Source organism: Homo sapiens, chromosome 17, assembly GCF_000001405.40.
Source record: "Homo sapiens chromosome 17, GRCh38.p14 Primary Assembly".
Taxonomy (NCBI): domain Eukaryota; kingdom Metazoa; phylum Chordata; class Mammalia; order Primates; family Hominidae; genus Homo; species Homo sapiens.
In genome coordinates this window covers 63,352,491-63,376,059 of record NC_000017.11, presented here as the reverse complement: position 1 = coordinate 63,376,059, position 23,569 = coordinate 63,352,491, and the positions used below count along the sequence as shown (strand labels likewise).

At 41.4% G+C, this 23,569-nt stretch overlaps 1 protein-coding gene across 21 annotated transcripts in view, besides 2 other annotated features; it reads right to left on the bottom strand.

Annotated features, from left to right (window-relative positions):
• TANC2 (tetratricopeptide repeat, ankyrin repeat and coiled-coil containing 2) overlaps window positions 1–23,569 on the bottom strand; it is a 461,469-nt gene that overhangs the window by 51,644 nt on the left and 386,256 nt on the right. For all 21 annotated transcript variants that reach the window (XM_011524597.3, NM_001394998.1, XM_006721810.4 and 18 more), the window contains one exon: window positions 20,670–21,277. In XM_011524597.3, coding sequence (XP_011522899.1) covers window positions 20,670–21,277 — 608 coding nt within the window. The remainder of the gene's footprint in view (window positions 1–20,669; window positions 21,278–23,569) is intronic.
• Window positions 14,116–14,616: an enhancer, noted in NCBI's record as "H3K4me1 hESC enhancer chr17:61438805-61439305 (GRCh37/hg19 assembly coordinates)". NCBI's record gives its function as "activates a minimal SCP1, AML or CMV promoter by ChIP-STARR-seq in naive H9 embryonic stem cells {active_cell/tissue: H9 hESC(naive)}" and the evidence as "EXISTENCE:reporter gene assay evidence [ECO:0000049][PMID:30033119]".
• Window positions 14,617–15,117: an enhancer, noted in NCBI's record as "H3K4me1 hESC enhancer chr17:61438304-61438804 (GRCh37/hg19 assembly coordinates)". NCBI's record gives its function as "activates a minimal SCP1, AML or CMV promoter by ChIP-STARR-seq in naive H9 embryonic stem cells {active_cell/tissue: H9 hESC(naive)}" and the evidence as "EXISTENCE:reporter gene assay evidence [ECO:0000049][PMID:30033119]".

The window sequence follows — 23,569 nt, the reverse complement described above, 5'->3', positions numbered from 1 at the left end:
GCTGGAGTGCAGTGGTGTGATCTCGGCTCACTGCAACCTCCACTTCCCACGTTCAAGCAATTCTCCTCTCAGCCTCCCAAATAGCTGGGATTACAGGCATGTGCCACCATGCCCAGCTAATTTTTTGTATTTTTAGTAGAGATGGGGTTTCACCATGCTGGCCAGGCTGGACTTGAACTCCTGATCTCATGATCTGGCCACCTCAGCCTCCCAAAATGCTGGGATTACAAGCATGAGCCACTGCACCCAGCCTATTTTAGTTTTTTCAATAGAGATTGTTCTTTTTGAATTAAGTTATTTTTTGAGTAAGTTATTTTAACAGACCATATGGAAGTTAGACAACAATACAAAGCATTTATGAAGTATCTTACTCTCAAGATCTCAAAATTCTGTCCAGCTCTTAACAGTAAAATTATTGTAGCCTCCCTGGTATAAGAATTATTACTTTAAGTTACTCATCCATGGCTGTTCCACTGTGACTAGAACTTCTGAATATAAGTCTCTGATCCACTATCTATGCTTTAGGCTGTTAATGAGAATTCATGCCTATTGGGATTAATGTAAAAAAGCTTGTGCTTGACAAGGAAATGAACTTTCAGTTAGACATAGAATTGACTTTACCCTAGTGTTTTCATTTTACCACCATAACTAAGAAATGCTGGTGAGATGTCTGCATTTCTCTAGTCTTCATTTCAGCTGGCTAGAGATAACTGCTTGCTTTTGCATCAGGCACTGAGGAGAAACAGCAAGCAATACAGGTCAAGGATAAGATGAAGGTGGCAACTATAGTTCATTTCTTTTTGAATACAAGCATGCTACATTATTACTAAAAGGATGGTTCTGATCAGTACACTGGACTCAAAGTTTGTGGTATGTAGGACATAAGGGGAAACAGCAATGTACATTCTATATTAGCTCCCATGGTGACATCTTGAGCACTGAGATTTAATTCTGCTTCTCGGTCTGCTGGATCTCTCCACCTCCATCACTATCAAACTCACTTTTTGAAGTTGGAGCTTTCCCTCAAAACCATCTCTCTCTCTTTTTTTTAAATATTGCCAGTTACTCAGGCATAAAACGTAGTAGCTATTTCCCCCCTCTCCTATATTTTCTCTCCTGAAAAGTCACAAGTATCTCATTCTCTTCATTTTATTCTTGACTGCTCACTCCCTGGCCATCCCAATAATCTACATTGCAAAAACCTGATCAAAATTCTGCTCAAAATTATTTGCTAGTTTTATTTTCCCTCTGATATAAAATTTAAATTCCTTAGCATGGTATCCAAGGGCTTTCTATAATTTGTCCCTTGCCTATTTGTCTGTCTTTACCTTTTTACCTTATCCTTTCAATTCTAAACAGAGTAAATTATCTGTAGGGTTTCAAACATGCTTTCCCTCTGCCTGGAATTCTCTTTCCTGTTTAGTTCATCAGAAAAACAATTTCTCATTCTTCAAATGGCAACTCACATCATCTCCTCTGTGAAGCCTTCCCTGGTGCCCCCCGATAAACTCAGGGGTTCCTTCCTTAGGTTCCTGTTGTACCTGGTACACATCTCCATTACAGCACCCACTGCAGGGCACTCTTCTATGTTGCTCTACTCCACACGTGGGAAAAAGCACGGCCTCTATCCTCAACAGAGTCTAGGTAATAGGGGTATATATTTGCAGAATGGATGAGTAAATAATAACATCTTATACCTGTGTATCTTAAGGTTTTCAAAATACCCAGGCATGATGGCTCACACCTGTAATCCCAGCACTTTGGGAGGCCAAGGTGGGAGGGTCGCTCGAGTCCAGGAGTCCAAGACTAGCCTGGGTAACAAAGCAGGATCCTGTCTCTACAAAAAAGTTAAAAAGTTAGCCAGTTGTGCTGGCGTGTGCCTGTAGTTCCAGTTACTTGGGAGGCTGAAGCAGAAAAATTGCCTAAGCCCAGGACGTCGAGGCTGCAGTGTGCTATGATTACACCGTTGCACTCCAGCCTGGGCAACACAGCGAGGCCCTGACTCAAAAAAAAAAAAAAAAAAAAAACCAACAACAACTGAAAAATCAAAATACTTAATAATAATAATAATTATTTTTTGAGACAGAGTCTCACGCCATTGCCTGGGCCAGAGTACAGTGGCATGATCTTGGTTCATTGCAACCTCCGCCTCCTGGGTTCAAGCAATTCTCCTGCCTCAGCCTCCCAAGTAGCTGGGATTATGGGCGTGCACCACCATGCCCGGCTAATTTTTGTATTTTTAGTAGAGATGGGGTTTTACCATGTTGGCCAGGCTGGCCTTGAACTCCTGACCTCAGGTTATCTGCCCGGCTTGGCCTCCCAAACTGTTGGGATTACAGGCCTGAGTCACTGCACCCAGAAAAATACTTTAATAATTTTTAGATTCTCAAAAAATCATTATACCATAGGTATAGCAGTAAATACTACTCCCAATATTATGGTAGAGGATTGACAGAGACTAAGCAAGATTGAGGGACAGACCCAGCTCGCATGCCTAGGAAGTAAAAGAGCTAGAATGAGAACTTCAGTGTTTTTGAAATCTAGTTCTACTGAAACCTAGTTCCACTGAAATCTAGTTCAATTACCACACTAAGATTAGCAACTTGGTCTTTGTTTCAGAACACACTTGTGTGAAAAAAAATCCACCACTGTAAAGAACAATATACTCATTTGTATAGTATAAACTCTGAATTCTTTAATTTTAACATAATTAAAATCAGCAACCATGATTTTGACACTTTTTGATTGGCATTTTGAGAAAGAGTAGGTAAGAAATAAGGTAGAGACAGCTCTAGGAAGCGTGGTATGTTTTAAAGCATGACAGAGCACAACTATGCTTTCCCTTTATAATTAAAGATGATGAGGCCAAGGCACAGTGGCTCTCACCTGTAGTCTCGGCACTTTGGGAGGCTGAGGCAGGAGGATTGCTTGGGTCCAGGAGTTTGAGACCAGCCTGGATACCATAGCGAGACCCCATCTCCACAAAAAATTTAAAAAATTAGGCGGGTGTGGTGGCATGTGCCTGTGCTCCTAGCTACTTGGGAGGCTGAGGTGGGAGGATCACTTGAGCCTGGGAGGTTGAGGCTGCAGCAAATTGTGATCGTGCTACTGCACTTCAGCCTGGGTGACGAGCAAGACCCTATCTCAAAAAAAAAAAAAAAAAAAAGATGGTAATCATAATCAACTTTAACATGGGTTCAGATATGGTCATAAAGGCCATGGGGTAGGGAAGTGAAGACAGAAGAGAATTATTTTCACATAGCTTATATAATATCACCTTATGATTCAAAGTTACTTTACAAATTTCCTTACTGGCATTCACAGTGCTGCCTCTTCATCCCTAAAAGTCAAACAGACCTACTTTTAAATCCTAGTTCTGCCACTTACACACTTTATAACCTAGGACAAGATACTGAACCTCTTTGTGAGACAGGGATAGTAACATCTACCTCTCAGGACTGTGGTAAGAATTAAGTGAGACATATTAAGCGAATGCATTTTATTTTATATTTCTTTTATATTCTTCAGAGTAACTAGTGTAACGCTAAACTAAAGGAATGACCAGTAACCACAAATGACTTTAAACATATAGGAAGATGATTGTGTGTTCAAATGGAACTTTAGTCTTTAATGTGTGTAGCAGGGTGAAATGTGATACCCTGTCCTTAACCCTGATCCTTACCCTTCCACACTGTACCCTACTACCTTTGCAGCCAGAAGAGAAGTCCACAGATCAGGGAAAAATTACTGGGGTACAGATGCCGTTCACTGCTAGCAAATGCAACTTGGAATTGTAACTTCAGGCAGAGGGGAGGGTAAGGACAGAGCTAACTGATCCCTAAGAAACAAGGTAAAAATTACGCTAACAGGAAGAATATAAATTTCTCATGTAGACCAGAGGTTTTCAGGAGGATAGTAAATCTTATATTCAAGGTATATTTGATTTTAGATATTTTAGGAGAAAGTTGATCACAGGTCACAGTTGAGGATCCTTCCCCCAGCACTCTCCCTCCTCCCCTTTGCTGGATAAGTATGCGTGTTTTGACAAAAGTCAGAGAAGGTGGTATCCAGGATAGCAGAGAGCAAATTCTACTTGCACTCTCATTTGTAGGCATGAGTAGTCCCTTGATACTGGAGACAAATGACACTCACTTCTGGATAACTACGGGTTACAAGGCAGTGAGGAACTACTGTCACTTGATGATCCTGTACCTCAAGAGTTCAGAGCTATGGAGTCTTTTAGAGAAAAACCCTTTCTAAAGCAAGAATCACTCCCCTCTATCCTCATTTAACATTATGGAAGTTGGATAACAGTTGTTTCACACAAAATATACAATGGCATTATGTTTGTTTTTCTAATAGGTTTTCACTTAGCACCCCAGGAGATAGCTAGTCTTAAAGTTTCTCTTTGTAGTACCAAAACATGCTAACAAATAAATCTGGATATTTCTAGCATGGACAGTTTCTCACTGTTCTAGTCAGAGTTACTAATATGGAGTCACACAGATTTCATTATGATGACAAACTTAATATACAACCTTCTAATGCTTCAGAGAAACAACACTTAGGTGCTTTGATTTTTTTTTTTTTTTTGAGACGGAATTTTGCTCTTGTTGCCCAAGCTGGAGTGCAATGGTGTGATCTCAGCTCACTGCAACCTCTGCCTCCCTGGTTCAAGCGATTCTCCTGCCTCAGCCTCCTGAGTAGCTGGGATTACAGGTGCACGCCACCACGCCTGGCTCATTTTTTGTATTTTTAGTAGAAATGGGGTTTCACCATGTTAGCCAGGCTGGTCTTGAACTCCTGACCTCAGGTGATCCACCTGCCTCGGCCTCCCAAAGTGCTGGGATTACAGGCGTGAGCCACCGTACCTGGCCAGGTGCTTTGATATTCTGTGTGAGGGTCAGATGTGACAAAGTGGTATAGTTACAGCTAGCTGGCAAGAAAATTCTTATAATCTAAAGCCTATCTTATAATTTTGGAGGAAATAATATGTGCTGCTGTGAAGTGTCTTTATATTACGGAGGCTAATGTGGGTTATTTAAAGAGACCTAGTGAGACGAGAATTATGAGGCAGAGATGGCTGGCGGCCTCCAAAGATTGTGCTCGCCTTCCAAGTCAAGAGTTCTTGTTGGCAAGTGGCTTCCTTGCCAGGGACCTCGCATTCAAGTGGGGTTATGTGACTCAGTTCTGGTTAACGAAATGCAGACAGAAATAATATTCACTTCAGACCTGGCCCAGAAGAATCTTCCACTCTTCCACTGTTTTTTGTCTTCCCCCATCTGCCAGTTGATGAAAACAACAATTACGCTGGGAAGCAGTGTGTGAAAGATGGCAGAGCCCCCATTGGCCTGCGTCTCTGAAAAATGGTACAGGGCAGACCTCTTCCAAAACATGTGGTGCCTTTGGACTTCATGTGAGTGAAAAATAAATTTCTATTGTGATAAATCACTTAGGTTTTGGGGTTTACTTATTTCAGTAGTTAGCATTACCTTAAATAAAACAAGAAAATTAGTTTATGAGGGATTGCTAACAGAGGATGGATAGAAGGATGAAGAAAGAGTAGAAAGGAGGACTAAGGAGGCCGGGCGTGGTGGCTCACGCCTGTAATCCCAGCACTGTGGAAGGCCGAGGCGGGCGGATCACGAGGTCAGGAGATCGAAACCATCCTGGCTAACATGGTGAAACTCTGTCTCTACTAAAAATACAAAAAATTAGCCGGGAGTGGTGGCGGATGCCTGTAGTCTCAGCTACTCGGAAGGCTGAGGCAGGAGAATGGCGTGACCCCGGGAGGCGGAAGTTGCAGTGAGCCGAGATTGCACCACTGCATTCCAGCCTGGGTGACAGAGAGAGACTCTGTCTCAAAAAAAAAAAAAAGAAAAAAAAAGAAAGGAGGACTAAGGAACTGTTTATCTCAATATCAGTGAAAATGGGCAGAAACAAACATAATATCCTCATAAATTAGATATTTGGGATACTAGTTGGGACATCAGTTATGAGGTTTATAGCAAAAGGCTAGGTGAGAAATGCTAAGACCTATTAAATGAGAAGAGAGAGCAGGGTGTATGTGGGAGAGACATTTTGGTGATACTCAAAAGCGCTTGGTCTTTTTTTTGTGTAGGGAAGGTAAGGATGGAGGGATTAAAAACTGCAATTAGGCCAGGCGAGGTGGCTCACACCTGTAATCCCAGCACTTTGGGAGGCTGAGGCGAGCAGATCACTTGAGGCCAGAAGTTCGAGACCAGCCTGGCTACCATGATAAAACCCCGTCTCTACTAAAAATACAAAAATTAGCCCGGCATGGTGGGGCATGCCTGTAATCCCAGCTACTCACAAAAATTAGCCTGGCATGGTGGTACATGCCTATAATCCCAGCTACTCAGGAAGCTGAGGCAGGAGAACCACTTGAACCTGGGAGGCAGGGGCTGCCATGAGCTGAGATCATGCCACTGCACTCTGGCATGGGCAACAGAGTGAGACCCCGTCTCAAAAAAAAAAAAAAAAAAGCTGAAATTATTATTCCTTTCCACAAGATTGTCAAAGCACACTCCATGAGAAGAAAAAAGGAAGAGGAGTCCTTGTGTCCCGTGACAGTAATGAGTCACTTTCTATCCCCAGCAGCCTTCCAGTATAAAAGCCTGTCTATTCCAAACCACTCATTCCTAGCCAACATGAAGTAATTTTTCAAACTCACAGCTAGCTGAAAGTATTCAAACTATGGTATCATCGATAGATTCCCTACCAGAGCCCACCATAAAGAGCGAAAGGTGAAAGAGGGAAGTTCCTTTAAATGGATGTTTCTCTTGTGTTACCAGGGGTCTTTGTGTTTGCAAAAAAGTAACTTGTAGGATGACCTGATAAAGTGGTATTTTCAGTAAGATTAATTCCTCTGAGAAATTCAGATGATACCATCAGATAATCATTGTTTAGGACATGGGGAATTTAGTCCTTCTAGCAAGGATCCCCGTGCCTCCATCTCCCTTTCTGCCAGTTGGACAAAGGTGTCTTCTGGCCAGGTTCTTAATGTTCTGTAGCTCCTGAGCCCTACTAGGAACACGAGTGTGGCAACTAAAAAGATATGGGTTTCCAAAAGTTCAAAAAGGTTTGTTCAAAAAGGACTTTAAGTTGCCCTTTTGATAGCCAGGTTTCTAGAACTCATCATCCTTTGCCTCTCTTCTATGTTTAGTCTCTTACTTTTTATCTTCCCGTTTTCCAGTGTCAACCAACATGGTCAAACTTTTCCCTTCCTTCATTGCTAAAATTTTGGGAAGTTGAGTCTATGGTAGTGGTCTCTACTTTTTCATTTCACATGTAGTTTTTAACTTATGGGAATTGGACTTCTGCTACCAATCATTCTATGCAAAGTATTCTAGCAAAAGCCATATATGGCCTCTTACCCTTTGCCTTATTGCAGTACAAGGTGCTGGTGAGCATCCCCTCCTTGAAACTGCCTTCTCCTTTGACTTCCATGACCTTACTTCCTTTTGTTTCTCTAATTCCTCTCTAAATTACTATTTGGCTCATCATCTTCTTTTAGCATTTAAATATAACTATTCTGTTTCATGCTTCTAAACTTTCTACTTTATATTCTTGGGTGATCTCGTTTAGTACTATGGCTTCTACTGTCAGTTATTTGCTGGTAATGCACAAAGTTATAGCTGCATGCCTTGAGCATTCTCTCTGTCTATTTTCTAAAGGCACATTCCTAAATATATTCTGTGCATCTTTCCTCAGAGGCAATTCATTATGAACATGTCCAAAATAGGACTCACTTTCTCCCCATAAGCCTGTTCTTCCTCCTGCCTTTGCTCATGTTAGAGCCCCTCCTCCATTCAGAAAGTTCTATGTTGGTTAGTACCATCACTATTATCCATCATTCAAGATAAATCTCGTCACTTTTGATCCCTCTGTCCTGACCTTTCACATACCATATAAAAAAAGACCAAGTGCTTTTCAGTATCACCAAAATATCTCTCCCACATACACTCTGCTCTCTATTCTCCTGTTATAGGTCTTACCATTCCTCACCTAGACTGTTGCTATAAACCTCTTAATAAGTAGCCCAACTTGCAGTCTCTTCCCTTCATTTCGACTCATCTTCCATACATCACTTGTCAGAGCTATCTTTCACATCACCAGAGTTATCAGATCTTTGTTTCTTCCTTCTCAAAAGGCTACAGAGGCTCCCTGTTATCTACAGAATTATAAAGTCTTAAATATGGCATTTAAGGTTTTCCCAGTGACACCTCCTATCATCCTCTCTTCCTGATCACGCATCTTATTCTCTCATCATAGCTGCTCACAGTTCCCCAAAGGCATTTCATATGTTCTCACTCCTCCTTGTTTCTGTTACTGCCATTACCTTTTCCTTTCTGCCTACAGTGCTCCTGCATTCCCTTGCTGCTTAACAGAATTCAACCCATACTTCCAGGCTGAACTTTAATGTTACCTCTTCTGAAAAGTATTTCCTCTTTGTCTAGGTTCCTATAATACTTTGTACTATGGCACTATTGTTGGTTGCTGTGTCTGACTTTCCTTTAGAGCAGGGGTATCCAATCTTTTGGCTTCCTGGGGCCACACTGGAAGAAGAAGAATTGTTTTGAGCCACACATAAAATATACTAACACTACAGATACCAGATGAGCTAAAAAAATTGCAAAAAAATCTCATCATGTTTTGAGAAAGTGTACGAATTTATGTTGGGCCACATTCAAAGCCTCCCGGGGACACATGTGGCCCATGGGCCGTGGGTTGGACAAGCTTGCTTTAGAGTATAATGGCTTTAGTGTCAGGGGTGTCTTAAGCCACCTAAGTTTCTCTAGTGGTTAGCACAGTCCTTGGTGTAGAGGAGAAGAAGCTCACTAAGTGTTTTGTGTTTCATGAATGAATAAAACCAAGCAAGTGGGTACAAGGAAGAGCAATGCAAGGACTTCCAGATTCACTTTCCAATTCAGTACTCAATTTGACTTTGAATTTGCAGATATTTCTGCTGTCGCTGTTAAGACTGTGAAATGAGTGTGCATATGACTCAAGTATTAAGAATAGGTTAACAATCCTGATCTTTTCCACTTCTCTTCTTAAAAATTCTGCCAACAGTTAAACTTTAGTTGTTGCTGTCTTATAGTCTGCTTGTGGCTATCCATTCTCAGCAAATGATACTCATGCTTCTTGGCGAAAATTATTTCTTCCATTTTTCACTTAACAGTCAGTAACTGCTTCGGCATATTTTTTCATGGCTTTCTCATGGAAGCTGAATTCAAAATATATTTCTGGTTCCCTTGTGCTGTTTTATAGTCAATATGGAAATGTATGACCCTTGTGAAAGTAAACTGTAAGTATGACCAAAAGGTACCTTTATAGAAATGAGTGGAAAAGCATTATTTTCTTGTAAATATAGAATCTGAATAGGAATTTGCTGCTTTCTCCCACTTTGCCTCACATCTTCCTACTGCCTTTCTGTTCTGTTAATGCATCTCGAGCTCTAGGAAAATGGTCATCTTTTCTCTGTTCCAACAAGAAGTCTTTAGGTAGCTGGCAGGGCTTCATGAGGCAGAAGAGCTATGACTCCACTGAAATGTCAGTTTGAAACACCAACGGTAGTCATAGGAAAATTGATCACTTCTCTCTTCCTCCTCCATGCCCCTCAGCTCTTTGTTTATACCTCTAGCACAGCACTCTGCCTTGAATTATAGCTAGTTATAAATGTGTCTGTTAAAAACACTAACCTGTAAGTCTTGGTAGACAGATCTTACTTGTATTTGTATTCCCAGCAGTGCTTAAGACAGAGCCTTAAATATATTACTTAATAAATATTCACTGAATACTTGCTGAAATGCATGTCTTCACTTAACTCCCGAGGCATGGCAGGAGGTAACAAAGTGAACAAAAGATACTATCTGTTGAGTTGTGGGAAGAGTTTCTCAAATATTTGAAGTTGCTAGCTTAAAATTAGTACCACTTATCATTCCTTTGTTGGCTCATTAGTTCGTCATCAAAAAAAAATTTACCGTGCGCTTACTGTGTTCCAGGCACTCTACTAATCATTAGGAAGACACAGTGAGCAATACAGAGAAGGTTCTTGTCCTCATCGAGCTCATTTTAGACAGAAAAGTGGACAAAAACGAGTATTCACCTACAATTAATAATAAATTGTGATAAGTGTTAGAAAGGAGGTAAAAAGGATGTTATGATTAAGAGATAAACCAGGAGGCACTTACTTAGATAACGTGACAAGCAGAAGTCTTTCTGAGGAGGTGGCATTTAAGCTGAGATCTGAAGGAGGAGTGAGAGATCTTTCTATGTGATGAGATGCCTGGGAAAGTGAGCTCCAGATGGAGGGAACTGTTAAGTGCAAAGGCCCAGAGGTGGGAAAGTGCAAGTTCTAAAAACTGGCAGAAAATTGTGAATAAGAGGGAGAAAGAATGAACTTAATTCAGGGAGGGAGGCAGAAGCTATATCTATAAATACAGGGCTTTGAACAATCTGGCTTTGATTTTACTCTAATCATAGAAAGCCACTGGAGGATTTTCAGGAAGAGGTTACATGGTCTGATTTGTGTTTTTATAAGATTGCTCTGGCTGCTGGTGGAGAATGGACTCGAAGAGGGCAAGAAGGGAGACCAAGAGGTGAAAGTAATCCATGTGAGATCCCAGGATGTGGTCATTATGATCATGAGAGATGGAAACAAACAGATACTTGCAAGTAAAATTTGGGTGGTAGAACCAACTGGATATGTGGACGGCTACAGTAAATTCATGTCTCACAGCTGTGGCTTCTTATGGTTGACAGGATGGAACGCTATTAGTGTTGAAAATGTGGAGATCTACCCGCTTTTGAAAGTCTCTAGAGATGGCCGAGTGAATTGCTTTACTTGCAAAAAAGAGAATATGCTGTCATGTTGCACTACACTGGCAATAGCTCCTCCTGACTGCTGTGCCATTAATCTTGGTTTGACAACCTAGGAAAACTTGTGGGGTTCTTATCTTTTGATCCAGCCAGTATTGCTTCGGAGACTCATTAATAGAATAATTAGCCTCTAATTCCTGTGCTACTTTCAGTACAAGAAATTTCCCTTAATCGCCTGCCCTACTTCCACCTCATTTTAGATTAAGTTGCTGTAACCAGTATTCACTATACCGAACATATCCACCTTAAAAAAGCTCTATATGTATTTTTAAACACATAAAGCAGTTATTACCTTTTACAAACAATATAGATGTAAGTCTCCTCTGTGTTTTCATTAGTTGGCTGTTCTGTAATTTTTTTTTTTTTTAAGAGTCAGGGTCTCACTCTGTCACCCAGGCTAGAGTGCAGTGGCATGACATACCTCACTGTAACCTTGAACTCCTGGCCTCAAGTGATTCTCCCACCTTGGCTTTCCAAAGCCCTGGGATTACAGGCATAAGCCACCTTGCCTGGCCTGTAAATGCTTCATGAATAAGTAAACGCTAAGCATTTATTCTTGCCAAGTCATCACTTCTGGGCCTTTTGGCTAAGATCAAGTATATTCTTGCCAACTCATAAAACGATGCACTCTTTCCAACTTATCACAAGCAGAACTATATCTCTGTATGTATATAGACTTAGGAAATCTCTCATAAGTTTTTATGACAGAATAAGTAGTTCTCAGTTTTAACTGGGTTTGGAGAAGAATTCTAATTAGCAGCTTTTTCCAAATTTCATTTTGGATTTGGAAAACGAAAAAAAAAATGTTGCTGTGGCCCATCTTCTAATGGTCTGACAGGGTGAAAGATGGGAACAGTTTGCCTATTTGACTAATAGATGTCGATCCTATGATTTATGCTGAGACAAAACAAACTTGTAAAGCTAAAAGACATTCAATGTGTTGGCAAATTGAACATATTTCAAAATATATATTAGAGTTCATGTAATTCCTCCCGTTTGTCATATCACAAAACCATGACATTGGGTCATTACTTCAGATATGAGTCTCAGATTTACTCTTGATGCCAATAGGGGGTTAGAAAGTGGATAATAGGAAAAAATATTCATTGGCAAATTAGATAAATCCCCAATAATATTACAGGTCAATGAAATATCTTCTTGGAAATCACACAACTAAACTATGACATCAGAAGACTGATTACCACTCAGTGGAAGATAGAGAAGAATTAGAAGTGAAGAATGTCTAGACTCTGAAAAGAGATGAAGCACTAATGGTCCCAGGGAGGTAAGCTCATCTACTAATAGTCAAGTGTTAGTGAAAGACCCAGAATAGCCAAAGCTATCCTAAGCAAGAACAAAACTGGAGGAATCATATTGCCTGACTTCAAATTATACTATAGACCCAAACGGCATGGTACTGGTATAAAAACAGACATGTAGACCAGTGGAACAGAATAGAGAGCCTAGAAATAAATTCATACATCTACAGTGAACTCATTTTTAAAAAAGGTTCCAAGAACATACTTTGGGGAAAGGACAGTCTCTTCAATAAATGGTGCTGGGAAAACTGGATATCCATAGGCAGAAGAATGAAACTAGATCCCTATCTCTCACCATATACAAAAATCAAATCAAAATGGATTGCAAACTTAAATCTAAAACCGGAAACTATGAAACTATTAAAAGAAAATATTAGGGAAACTTTTCAAGACATTGGTCTGGATAGAGACTTCTGGAGCAATACCCCAAAAGCACAGACAAGCAAAGCAAAAATGGACAAATGGGACCTCAGCAAGTTACAAAGCTTCTGCACAGCAAAGGAAGGAAACAACAAAGTGAAGAGACAACCCATAGAATGGAAGAAAATACTTGCAAACTACCCATTTGACAAGGGATTAATAACCAGAATATATAAAGAGCTCAAACAACTCTATAGGAAAAAATCTAATAATATGATTTAAAAATGGGCAAAAGATCTGAATAGACATTTCTCAAAAGAAGACACACAAATGGCAAACAGGTATATGATCACTGATCATCACAGAAATTCAAATGAAAACTACCACGAGATATCATCTCATCCCAGTTAAAATGGCTTTTATCCAAAAGACAGGCAATTAACAAATGCTGAGAAGGATGTGGAGAAAAGGGAACACTTGTATGCTGTTGGTGGGAATGTAAATTAGTGCAATCAATATGGAGAACAGTTTGGAGGTTCCTAAAAAAAACTATAAATAGAGTCTAGGGTGAGCTGTAAACAGACGGGAGCCCTGCCCCCTCCTGAGTTGTCAGGGTGGGAGCCCTGCCCAGCCATGGCTGCAGACCTGGGCATCCATGTGCTCTTGGGGGCCCGGGAAGATCCCCATACCCCCACAGGCTCAGAAGTGCCAGCTCTACTTGGCCTCTCCCTGTTCCCAGTGCCCACTCTGATTTCGGAGCAAAGCTGAGGCTGAAGCTGGGCACTGTTGTGACCCGGCCAGGTGTATGTCTGTTCAGGGCAGTGTTGACACGCCAGCCCCATGCTGCCTCAGTCCCCTCTGGACTTTGGGTGCTGACGAGCATGGGAGGGAGGCTGAGGGTAGGCTGAGGGTGGCTTGGTGCAGGCCTGCAGGTGCCTCTCGGCCTGCAGGTGCCTCTCGGCATGAACAGCCTGGGTGCCATGGATGACATGATTGATGGTGGCAGGAGGCAGACAGGCTCCTGGGTGGAAAGGAGTGGGTCCCCAGTGAAGCCCCACCTTCAGGCCAGAAACGGCCTGAAGCATGGGGGCTGGGCTGTCAGTTCTGGGTGGAGTCCATGGCCCTGAGTGAGAACTTATGGTGCTTTTTCCAGGCCTGCCCATGAACCAATTAGCATGCATGTCCTCCCTTCTGAAGCCCATAAAAACCCTGGACTCAGCCAAACTCACAGAGATGAGACAACCTGCCTGCAGATAGGAGCTACCCACTCCATGTCTCCTCTCCCCTGAGAGCTGAACACTCGATGGGACAACCTGCCTGTAGATAGGAGCTACCCATTCCAGGTCTCCTCTCTGCTGAGGGTTGCACACTTGTTGGGACATCCTGCCTGTACATAGGAGCTATCCACTCCAGGTCTCCTCTCTGCTGAGGGCTGCACACTTGATGGGACAAACTGCCTGTAGATAGAAGCTACCCATTCCAGGTCTCCTCTCTGCTGAGGGTTGTACACTTGTCGGGACAACCTGCCTGTGCATAGGAGCTACTCAATCCAGGTCTCCTCTCTGGTGAGAACTGGACACTTGCAGGGATGACCTGCTTGTGGAAAGGAGCTTCCCACTTTGGATCTCTTGAGAGCTGTTCTGTTGCTCAATGAAGCTCCTCTCTGCATTGCTCACTCTCCAGTTGTCCATGAACATCATTCTTCCTGGATGCAGGACAAGACCTCAGGACCTGCTGAATGGCGGGACTGAAAGAGCTGAAACATGCCCCACTGCTCGCCACATTGTGGACGATGAGAAGGAGAGAAGAGCTGCAGTTCTTTGAGGAGCCCAGACCTAGGGACTCCCTGAGCTATGGCTGTGACACCCTCTTTGGGCTCAGCAGTTCCTGGTGTCTCCAAGCTTCCAGGTGCCACCGCATTCCCCTTGTCCAGACGTGGTTGCCTGCAGTGGAAGCTGCGTGCAATATGTTTGGTACAACCGCAGCCTCACATGCAGCTGGCACCTGTGCTGGTGCCTGGAGTTGCCTGCCCTGCTGCAGCAGCCAGCGTGCCTGGTTGTGCAGTGGCTGGACCCCATGCTCTCTTGTCCACACACTGCTCACTGTTCTGTGCCTGGCTCACCCTTGGGAGGTGTGGGATCTGGGCCAGTAGCACGAGCTGAGTGCAGCCTGCTGAGCTGAGTAGGCAGAACGATCCCAAAGGGTGTGAGCAATACTCAGGCAGAAGGCTCTGTCAGCCACAGAGGTTTCTGGCTGGCAAAGCAACACCCCAAAGATCCTGTGACACTACCATACGATCCAGCAATCCCAGTCCTATGTATATACCCAAAAGAAAGGAAATCAGTATATTGAAGAGATATCTGCAGTTTCATGTTTGTTACAGCACTACTCACAACAGCCAAGATTTGGAAGTAACTTAAGTGTCCACCAACAGACAAATGGATAAACAAAATGTGGTGCATATACACAACGGAGTATTATTCAGCCATAAAAAAGAATGAGGCCCTGTCATTTACAACAACATGGATGGAACTGGAGGTCATTACGTTAAGTGAAATAAGCCAGGCACTGAAAGACAGACATTGCGTGTTCTCACTTATCTGTCAGAGCTAAAAATTAAAATAATTGAACTCATGGAGATAGAGAGTAGGGGAAGGTTACCAGCTAGGAAGGGTAGTCAGGACTGGGGAGGGGTTGGTGGAAAGGGGGGGCATGGCTAATGGGTACAAAACATAGAAAGAATAAATAAGACCTAGAATTTGCTGGCACAACAAGGTGACTAGAGTAAAAAATAATTTAATCAAACATTTAAAAATAACTAAAAGAGTATAATTGGATTGTGTGAAACACAAAGGATAACTGCTTGAGGTGATGGATATTTTACCCTGATGTGATTATTACACACTGCATGCCTATATCAAAATATCTCATGTAACCATATATATATATATGTATGTATGTATATACCATGTACCCACAAAAATTAAAAATTAAAAAAAAATTGAAAGTGTGAATAAAAGATGTCTGGTACATTCTCTTTTCTCTGCTTTAACTCTTCCAAGCCTCCTAAGGGTTGATTTAGTTCTAAGAGGCCCTTTTTCCTTCCCATGCTTCATCATTTTGCTGAATTCTCTCCTAATGCTTTGAGAAAGCAGAACCCATCCTCCAGTTTAAGGGTCTGCTCTGGGAGCCTGCAATGGCTATCAGGAGCAGTGACCTCAAGTTTGTGCTTCAGTGAGGGTAAGGTTAATTGTCATCTTGCCTGGAGGCTCATATTTAGATTTAAAAAACAAAATCAACACAAACTTCAACTCACCATTTATTTTGTAGTCATTTCAACCCCATCTATTCTATAAGAAGCCCTGTTATACAGACCTCTGGCACAGTTATTTTTCACTTTGGGGAGGACACCCTCTCTTTTTCCTTAGACAAACTGCTTGTTCTCTGACACCCTGCTTTGTGGCAATGGATTTTGGAGCATCAGGTCTCCAACGTGTAATTCACTTACTAATATGGTCAAATAAATTAGGAAAAACCTCGACAAACCACTTATTATAAGCAATCAATTCTGGTCATAAAGAATCAAGTAAGTACTCAACTATCCCATGGTATAGGTAGGATTTGTGTCGCCTTTTCCCTTTCCATTCATCACAGGATTTGCTGTCTTTAATTTGAGGAAATCAGGTCAAACCAAATTAGGCTCCCACATCACAACCTTAGGCTCCCACATCACAATCTCATTAGGTTGTATCAACTCAACACTCATTACATGAAGTTCACAACAAGCTTCTTGTATCTTATTCAAACATTTAAAAATAAGGCTGGCTAGGCTGGGCACGGTGGCTTATGCCTGTAATCCTAGCACTTTGGGAGGCTGAGGTGGGCAGACCACCTGAGGTCAGGAGTACGAGACCAGCCTGGCCAAATTGGTGAAACTCCGTCTCTACTAAAAATACAAAAAAGTTAGCCGGGCAAGGTAGCAGGTACCTGTAATATCCCAGCTACTTGGGAGGCTGAGGCAGGAGAATTGCTTGAACTCAGGAGGCAGAGGTTGCAGTGATGTGAAATCGCATCACTGCACTCTAGCCTGGGTGACAGGACACTCTGTCTCGAAAAAAAAAAAAAAATGCTGGTGCAGTAGCTCATCCCTGTAATCCCAGCACTTTGGGAGGACAAGGTGGGTGGATGGCTTGAACCTGAGTTTGAGACCAGGAACACAGTAAGACTCTTTCTCTACAAACAAAAAAAATTAGGCATGGTGGCATGTGCCTGTGGTCACAGTTACACAGGAAGCTAAGGTAGGAGGATTGCCAGAGCCCAGGAGGTTGAGACTTCAGTGAGCCGTGACTGTGCCACTGCACTCCAGCCTGAGTGACAGAGTGAGATACTGTATTAAAAAAATAAAAACAAACCCCACAAAAATACACACATAATAACGCAGTAGTCTTTTAATCTCTGGCAAAATCTTACACACACACACACACACACACACACACACAAATATTAATCTGAGAGCCGTTCCTATGGAAGGGAAAGTTAGATATCATGAAAATTGAGAAAATGAGGAATAGAAACAGAACAGAGTGGAGATTTATTCAGGGCGAGCCTAAAGCGATATAGAAATATTAAGCAGTAACTGGACTGCACCACAAGGCTGGTAGCTCCGACTGTCTACTCTATCAGCCTTAAATTTCTACTATGAGAGTCACTAAAAGGTTGCCTAACAAAGGCCGATGACTACTTCTCTCAAATGTCTTATTTTAAATGCACAAGTTGCCTCAAATAGGTTTTCCATCTCTTTACTATTAGCATAATAGCAGGAATTCGCTTATTAAATTAGTGAGTTAATCTGATATCTCCGTGCCCAAGAGAATAAAACATAGGACAGATTAAGTTCAGGGTATGTCAGAAGGCTGACAGTGATGAACAGTGGGAAACAGAGAGCAGAATGAGGTGGTATGGTCTAAGGTTTGTGATTGCTTCAAGGGGCATATTTTACCTAAACTGCAAATCTAAAAGATTCTTCAGTGATACTCTGCTTACAGTTTGATACACACACACATACACACACACACACACACACACACACACACACATACTCTCTCTCTCTCTCTCTCTCTCTCACTCTACTCACCTTGTTACTCATTTATTTCTATGACAATGAGACAACGATACATCTATGTAACGTTAGGTCATTCTCTCTGGTAGGTCAAGTCCTTGCCCAGATTCTGAGACAATAAGCAGTCTGGTATTCAAAATAATGAAAACTCAATCTCAGCTGTAGCATTAACCTCTGGCTCTGCTATTTCCTGCTTCCAGCACCATTCTCAGATTACTGACTCTTTTCAGCTCAGGCAGAAGCAACCTCCTTGGGTAGCCTATTTCTGGAGAAGATCAACTACTTTTTGGCAATTGAGTGCTGAAAGCCCAGGAAAATGGACTAAAAAGGGTAAGAATGTTGTGTTGCCTCTGGAAGCTCTCCTTACACCACAGAGATGTACATGTCAGGCACTGGCTTACCTGGTGTGATTTCAGAGGCACTGAATTGGTCTTCTTTGATCTACTGAAAGATGCTTTAGAGAGAAGGAGAGAAAGTGGAGAACAGAAGGAGAAACAATGTGCAAGAAGTGGAGGCTGAAGGCCACAAAGACAAACCATGCCTGGAGAGAGTCCTGCTAATCAGACCTGCCTGAAATGGAAAACAAGTGCAGCCAGCTGCTTTGAAAGACCAGCTTGGGCTTTGCCAATAGCATTAAATTCTTAGTGAATTTCCATCTCATTGACCTAGGGAGCCTTAAGCACTGAGATCAATACTTCAGTACTTTAGTAACAAGGTTGGTGCCAGCCATTGCTGGGGAGGGGGCTGAGTTCCAACTGAAATGAAATCTAAGAAAGCTTTTTTTGATAACTCCTGGTCCTGTTTACAATTTTACTCTCTGCCATTAAGTGAAATAAGATGATCTCTCAGCAGCCATGCTATTCAATCATCAGGGAACGGATTATACAGGATTTGAAGTTGGAAGTACCTGCTCCTCTTGTCCCAGTGCATCAGTCGGTTGCTGCAAAACTCCTAGTTAAAATGCGATGTTGAGAAGGCAAAGCCTGTATAGTCATGATATGGCTGTATAAAAGCCGTATTTTCTCCTCTGAGAGCCCCTGAGGATTTCATCTGTTGTAAGGATACTATTAATTCAGTGGTAGTCTGGTTGCCTTGGACCTCAGCTTTCAATCCTCTGAGATGTCCCAGGATCTAAGGTCCCAGATCAGCTAGCAAAGTTTCTCTGGGAACTGATCTCAAAGCGTTTATTAGGCAATTCTACATTAGTTTCTTTTTCCTATATACATAGTTGCCAGTTCTTTGTATTAAATATTGACAACAGCTCTAGTAGGATTTATAGTAAAATCCTTTTGGGAACATCATACAATTCACAGAAGGGACTTGGATTGTTTTTATTGTTTCTTTTTAAAATCTTGTGCTCCAAAATGATAACAGCAGAAGATGGCTGTCGCTATCCGATTAGCCACAGGATTTAACTAAGATACACCAGAAGGGTCTATTACTGCAGGGTGAGGGGAGGAAAAAGAACATACCCCAAGTGTTTCTTTTACTCTGTACTATTCTAGGCATCATACTATATGACCTCACTTAACTTCTCAACAACTCTAGAAAAAAGGCATTATTATTGCTCTTATGTAGATAAGAAAACTAAGTCTTAGAAACACTATGTAACTTTTTCCAAAGGTCAAAGTTCCTAGAAGAGGCAGGATTTATATGCAGGTAATTTGACTCAAGAGTTTATGTTCTTTCCACTACAGCATGTTTCTTTAAAAAAGCTTCCCTCTCAGAGAAAATGCTACAAAGTCTATTGCCTGGCTTAATATCTTCATCATAATCTGGAACTAATTTTCTGATGAATCAGCATGGAGTAGGCTGAGCAGCATGCCCACAGTACAGTTGTCTCTAATAAGGCCTGGTGAAGGACACGGTGAAGGGCAATAAAACCCCAGCATGAACACAGAGTTTTATTCTTTCTGATGAGTCACATGTGAGGCATAGTCAAATCTGGCCTCTTCTTTTTGAGCCAAAATAAGCTCTGCATTTGCCAGCTATGTTGTTGGTGTCTTCTTTGTTTCCATGAAGTCAGTAATGTACCCGGCTTTTGAAAACACCAACTTTATTAAAGGAATACGTCTTTAAAAATGTTAGTATGACGGAGTAAAAGCACACCCCGACCAGGATGCCAGAGAACTAGGTTTCATGCAATAAAAAGGGAAACAGTTTCATATCTAGTCTGGTTTGAGTTGAGAAAGATTCTCAAGTCAGGTTCAAGCTCATTGGGAAAGAGTGCTGGGGTAAATCAGTGATCCTGTTGTGCGTGTGGGGTGGGGAGTGGTGGGATATATCATGCACTTGTGATCCCTATTCTGGTGTGTGCCCCTCCCTTCTCCCATGTATTAACCTTATGACTTTGTGCAAGTTGATCCAGCATCTTAAGGCCTTTATAGCAAAATGGAGATAATGACACCTTACGTATCTAAAGGCAGCATGGATAGACCAGCTGATCTCTTCAAATCTTTTTCAGCTAGGAGGTTTAAGATTGTATTTTCTAGTATAAAGCTTAGCATTGGCTGGACTTTAATGGATTTAGTCACTGGAAACTTTAAAAATGATAAGGTTTTATAAAAGGGCAATAAAAACTTTGAAATGATTCTGCCCTAAATCAAAGAGATTTACAATATATCAATTCTTTCTTCATATCAGAATAATAATACTGAGGAAGTCCATTAAATGGTTAACTTAATTATAGCCTGTGAACCCTGTGGGGTCAGTGAAAATTATTTAGAAGAACACAGGAACGTAGGATAGCATTCTAAATATCTATGCAGATGTTGAGTCTTAAGGAAATAACATTGTAAAACAATAAATTAGTTAACCTCATTATAGCCTTGCCTTGAGAAGAAACACAGATGATGTCTCTTCTATGTGAAATGTTCAATGAAGAACACTTCTACTTTCAATACTCACACTCCATGCAATAAACAGAAAACAGACTCAGAATTGTTTATCACAGATATATGTCTTACCTCGGATCACAGAGAAATTTGGTTTTCTCTCCTTCTTCTCTCCAGATAAGCCATTCTCGAAAAGAAGGATGTACAAACATACGAGTCATGTCTCTGCGCTTGATTAGGAACATGGAGAGGTTCTCCATTCTCTGCTGAAAATCCTCCCATTCTAGTGTGCCTTCAATGCTCCCAGCATTGATGGCCTGGAAGATATGCTCATCAGTCAGTGGGTGGAGAGAGGCCACTGCCACATTCAGGAGAGGCATCACCCGGTCAAAGGAAGACTGGGTTGGGAACTTCATATTGCACTGGAGTAAATAAACCTCTGAGAGCGAAACAGGAACTACTTTGTAGCTAGAGCTCTTTAACACTAGATAGCCTTTCTCTATGAGGTCAAATGTAAGTTTCAGATATAGATAGGACCCTTGACTGAGGGTCTTGAGATGAGAACTGAGTTTGCCAAATGTAGTATTGTCCATTTTGCCATTAAGTGAAATGTTATTCTGGATCTCTGAGCTGCTGTGTATCCGGTGCAGGATGTAAGCCTGCAGGTCCTGGTCTATGGCTTCATTCTCTTCTAGTCGATCCAAAAAAATCCTATGGAAAGGCAGCAGCTTGGTAATTTCCTAAAAAGATGGAGAGAGAGAAAGAGACAGAAAGACCTTCAGTTTCCCCTAACTCTTGTGATAAACTATGAGGTTCACAAATGTATTCTGAACTTCGAAGTGGCCAAACAGGGAAACATGATCAAGTATTAGTATCCAAAAAGTAAAACAAATTAGTTGCATAGAAGGGACACAACTTCTCCTAACATTGAGACTTAAGATATATTTTTAAATGGGTCTTTGTAAAGAGTGCTTTTGGAGTGATTTCATGATCGTCATTCTAAACAACACTCCTGAAATAAATAGAAAACGGAGCACTGTATAACTCTTTTGCTGTAATTTTTCTCAGTGTAAACCAGGGCATAATGCCAAGTACAAGTCAGTAAGAGAAATGTACAAAGATTCAAAGACTGGCTTAGAAAAAGTTGGCTTTCTAACTCTCCTAATAAAATGACTATTTAAAAAAAAATTTCCCACACAACACAGATGTATAAAATGACTACATTTAAATGCGGGCCTTCTGGAGATACCTTAGCCGAAAGGTACACTTCTAACAGTAGGAAGCTTGGCACCTTGGTAACAGATTCCAATAGAATCTGTTGGAAATTCTACTGGGGGAAGGTGATATGGCTTTGTGGCTACTCCTATGCACTGGATTCCATCCTTTCTTACCTACCCACGGACTTTGCTCCTGTGAGTACCCATTCCCTCTCCTGCATCTGTTTCTTCTCAGCTGGGTCACACATACATAAACTCCATATTCTTCCTTCCAGCTACTACCCTGTATCTCTGTTCCCATTTTTCACAAAAGTTTTCTGTATTCGCTATCTATAATTCTTTCCTTCCCATTCTCTCCTCCATTTGTTCCAATCAGGCTGCACCCTCACCACCTCACTGAAATGGTTCTTGTCAAGGGCATCAGTAACTTTCACTTTGCCAAATCCGATAATAAAGTTCCAGTTCTCATCTTCCTCAACCTCTCGGCAATATTTGACACAACGCATCTCACCTCAATGCACTTTTTTTGGAGTCACTTTCTGCAGCTTGCTCCCAGAGAACGTTCCCCTCTTTTCTCTCTTAGCACACTGGCCACTTTTAACCTTCCCTTTTTTGCTGGCTCTTTTTTTTATTTCCCAGCTCACCCAGGGCTCTGGGCTCTGTTCTTTCCTCTTCTCTAGCCATTCTCACTCCCATCAATAGATTCTTTAGTCCCATGGTGCTAAATATTATCTATATGTGGCTCATGCCTAACTTTATGTTTCTAGCTTAGTCATCTCCCCTGAGTCCCATCTTATATCTGTCTACTCAACATTTACATTTGGATATTTCATAGACAATGTGACCAAATCAGTACTTAATTTTGTCCCCCGCCACAAAACTCACCCCATGTCAATAAATGGCATTACCACTGACTCTACCACCAAATTCTAGAAGATATCTGTGATCTTTCTATTGTCCTCAAATCATCATTCACCCATTTGCTCACAACATACCCAGGATTCATTCTTGAGTCTTCTCTCTTGCTGACACCCACATTCAGCCCATCATCAAGTCCTTTTACTCTCCTTCAAAATACAGTCCAACGAAATATGACCATTTCACATGGTCCCCATCATTATCACTCTAGTCTAAGCCACCATTACCTTTCACCTATACTTCTGCTTCAACTCTTTATCCCTTACATTTTATTATGTAGACGGCCAGTTGACAGAAATCTTTAAAAAAGACAGATCAGATCTCATCACTTTTAAACGAGAGGCCTTTCCTATATATCCTATCTAAAACAACTACTATCCAGTTATCCCTCCACCCTATTTTGTTTTTCTTCATAGCACTCAACACTACCTGTAATTTTAGTATATGTTTAACTTTTTGCTCATTTGTTTTTTGTGTTCCTTACTAAAATATAAGCTTTAGGAGGATGGGAATATTGCCTGTCTTGTTCATTTTGAATCTCCAGCCCCTAGAACAGTCCCTGAAATACTCTTAAGAAATGTTTGTGGAAATAATGATGATCAAATATAAATGAAGGCTCATTTTCTAAAACCTATAAATTCTTTCACTGTCGGAAATGAAATAATTTTTAAAAATTCTTAGTTGAAGTACTTTTTCTGTTGGCACAGCTGAAAAATTAAAGTCACCTACTCTATCCGGAAACACAATTTCTTTTGAGACTGCACATGATATTATGTGAGAATATGTATGAGGATAACATCTCCAAAGCATCCATTTGGTAAAGCAGTCAGAGATTACATTCCTGGAGGTTTCTTTCATTCATCTTTCATTTTTAACAATCAAGCTACTAATAATGAT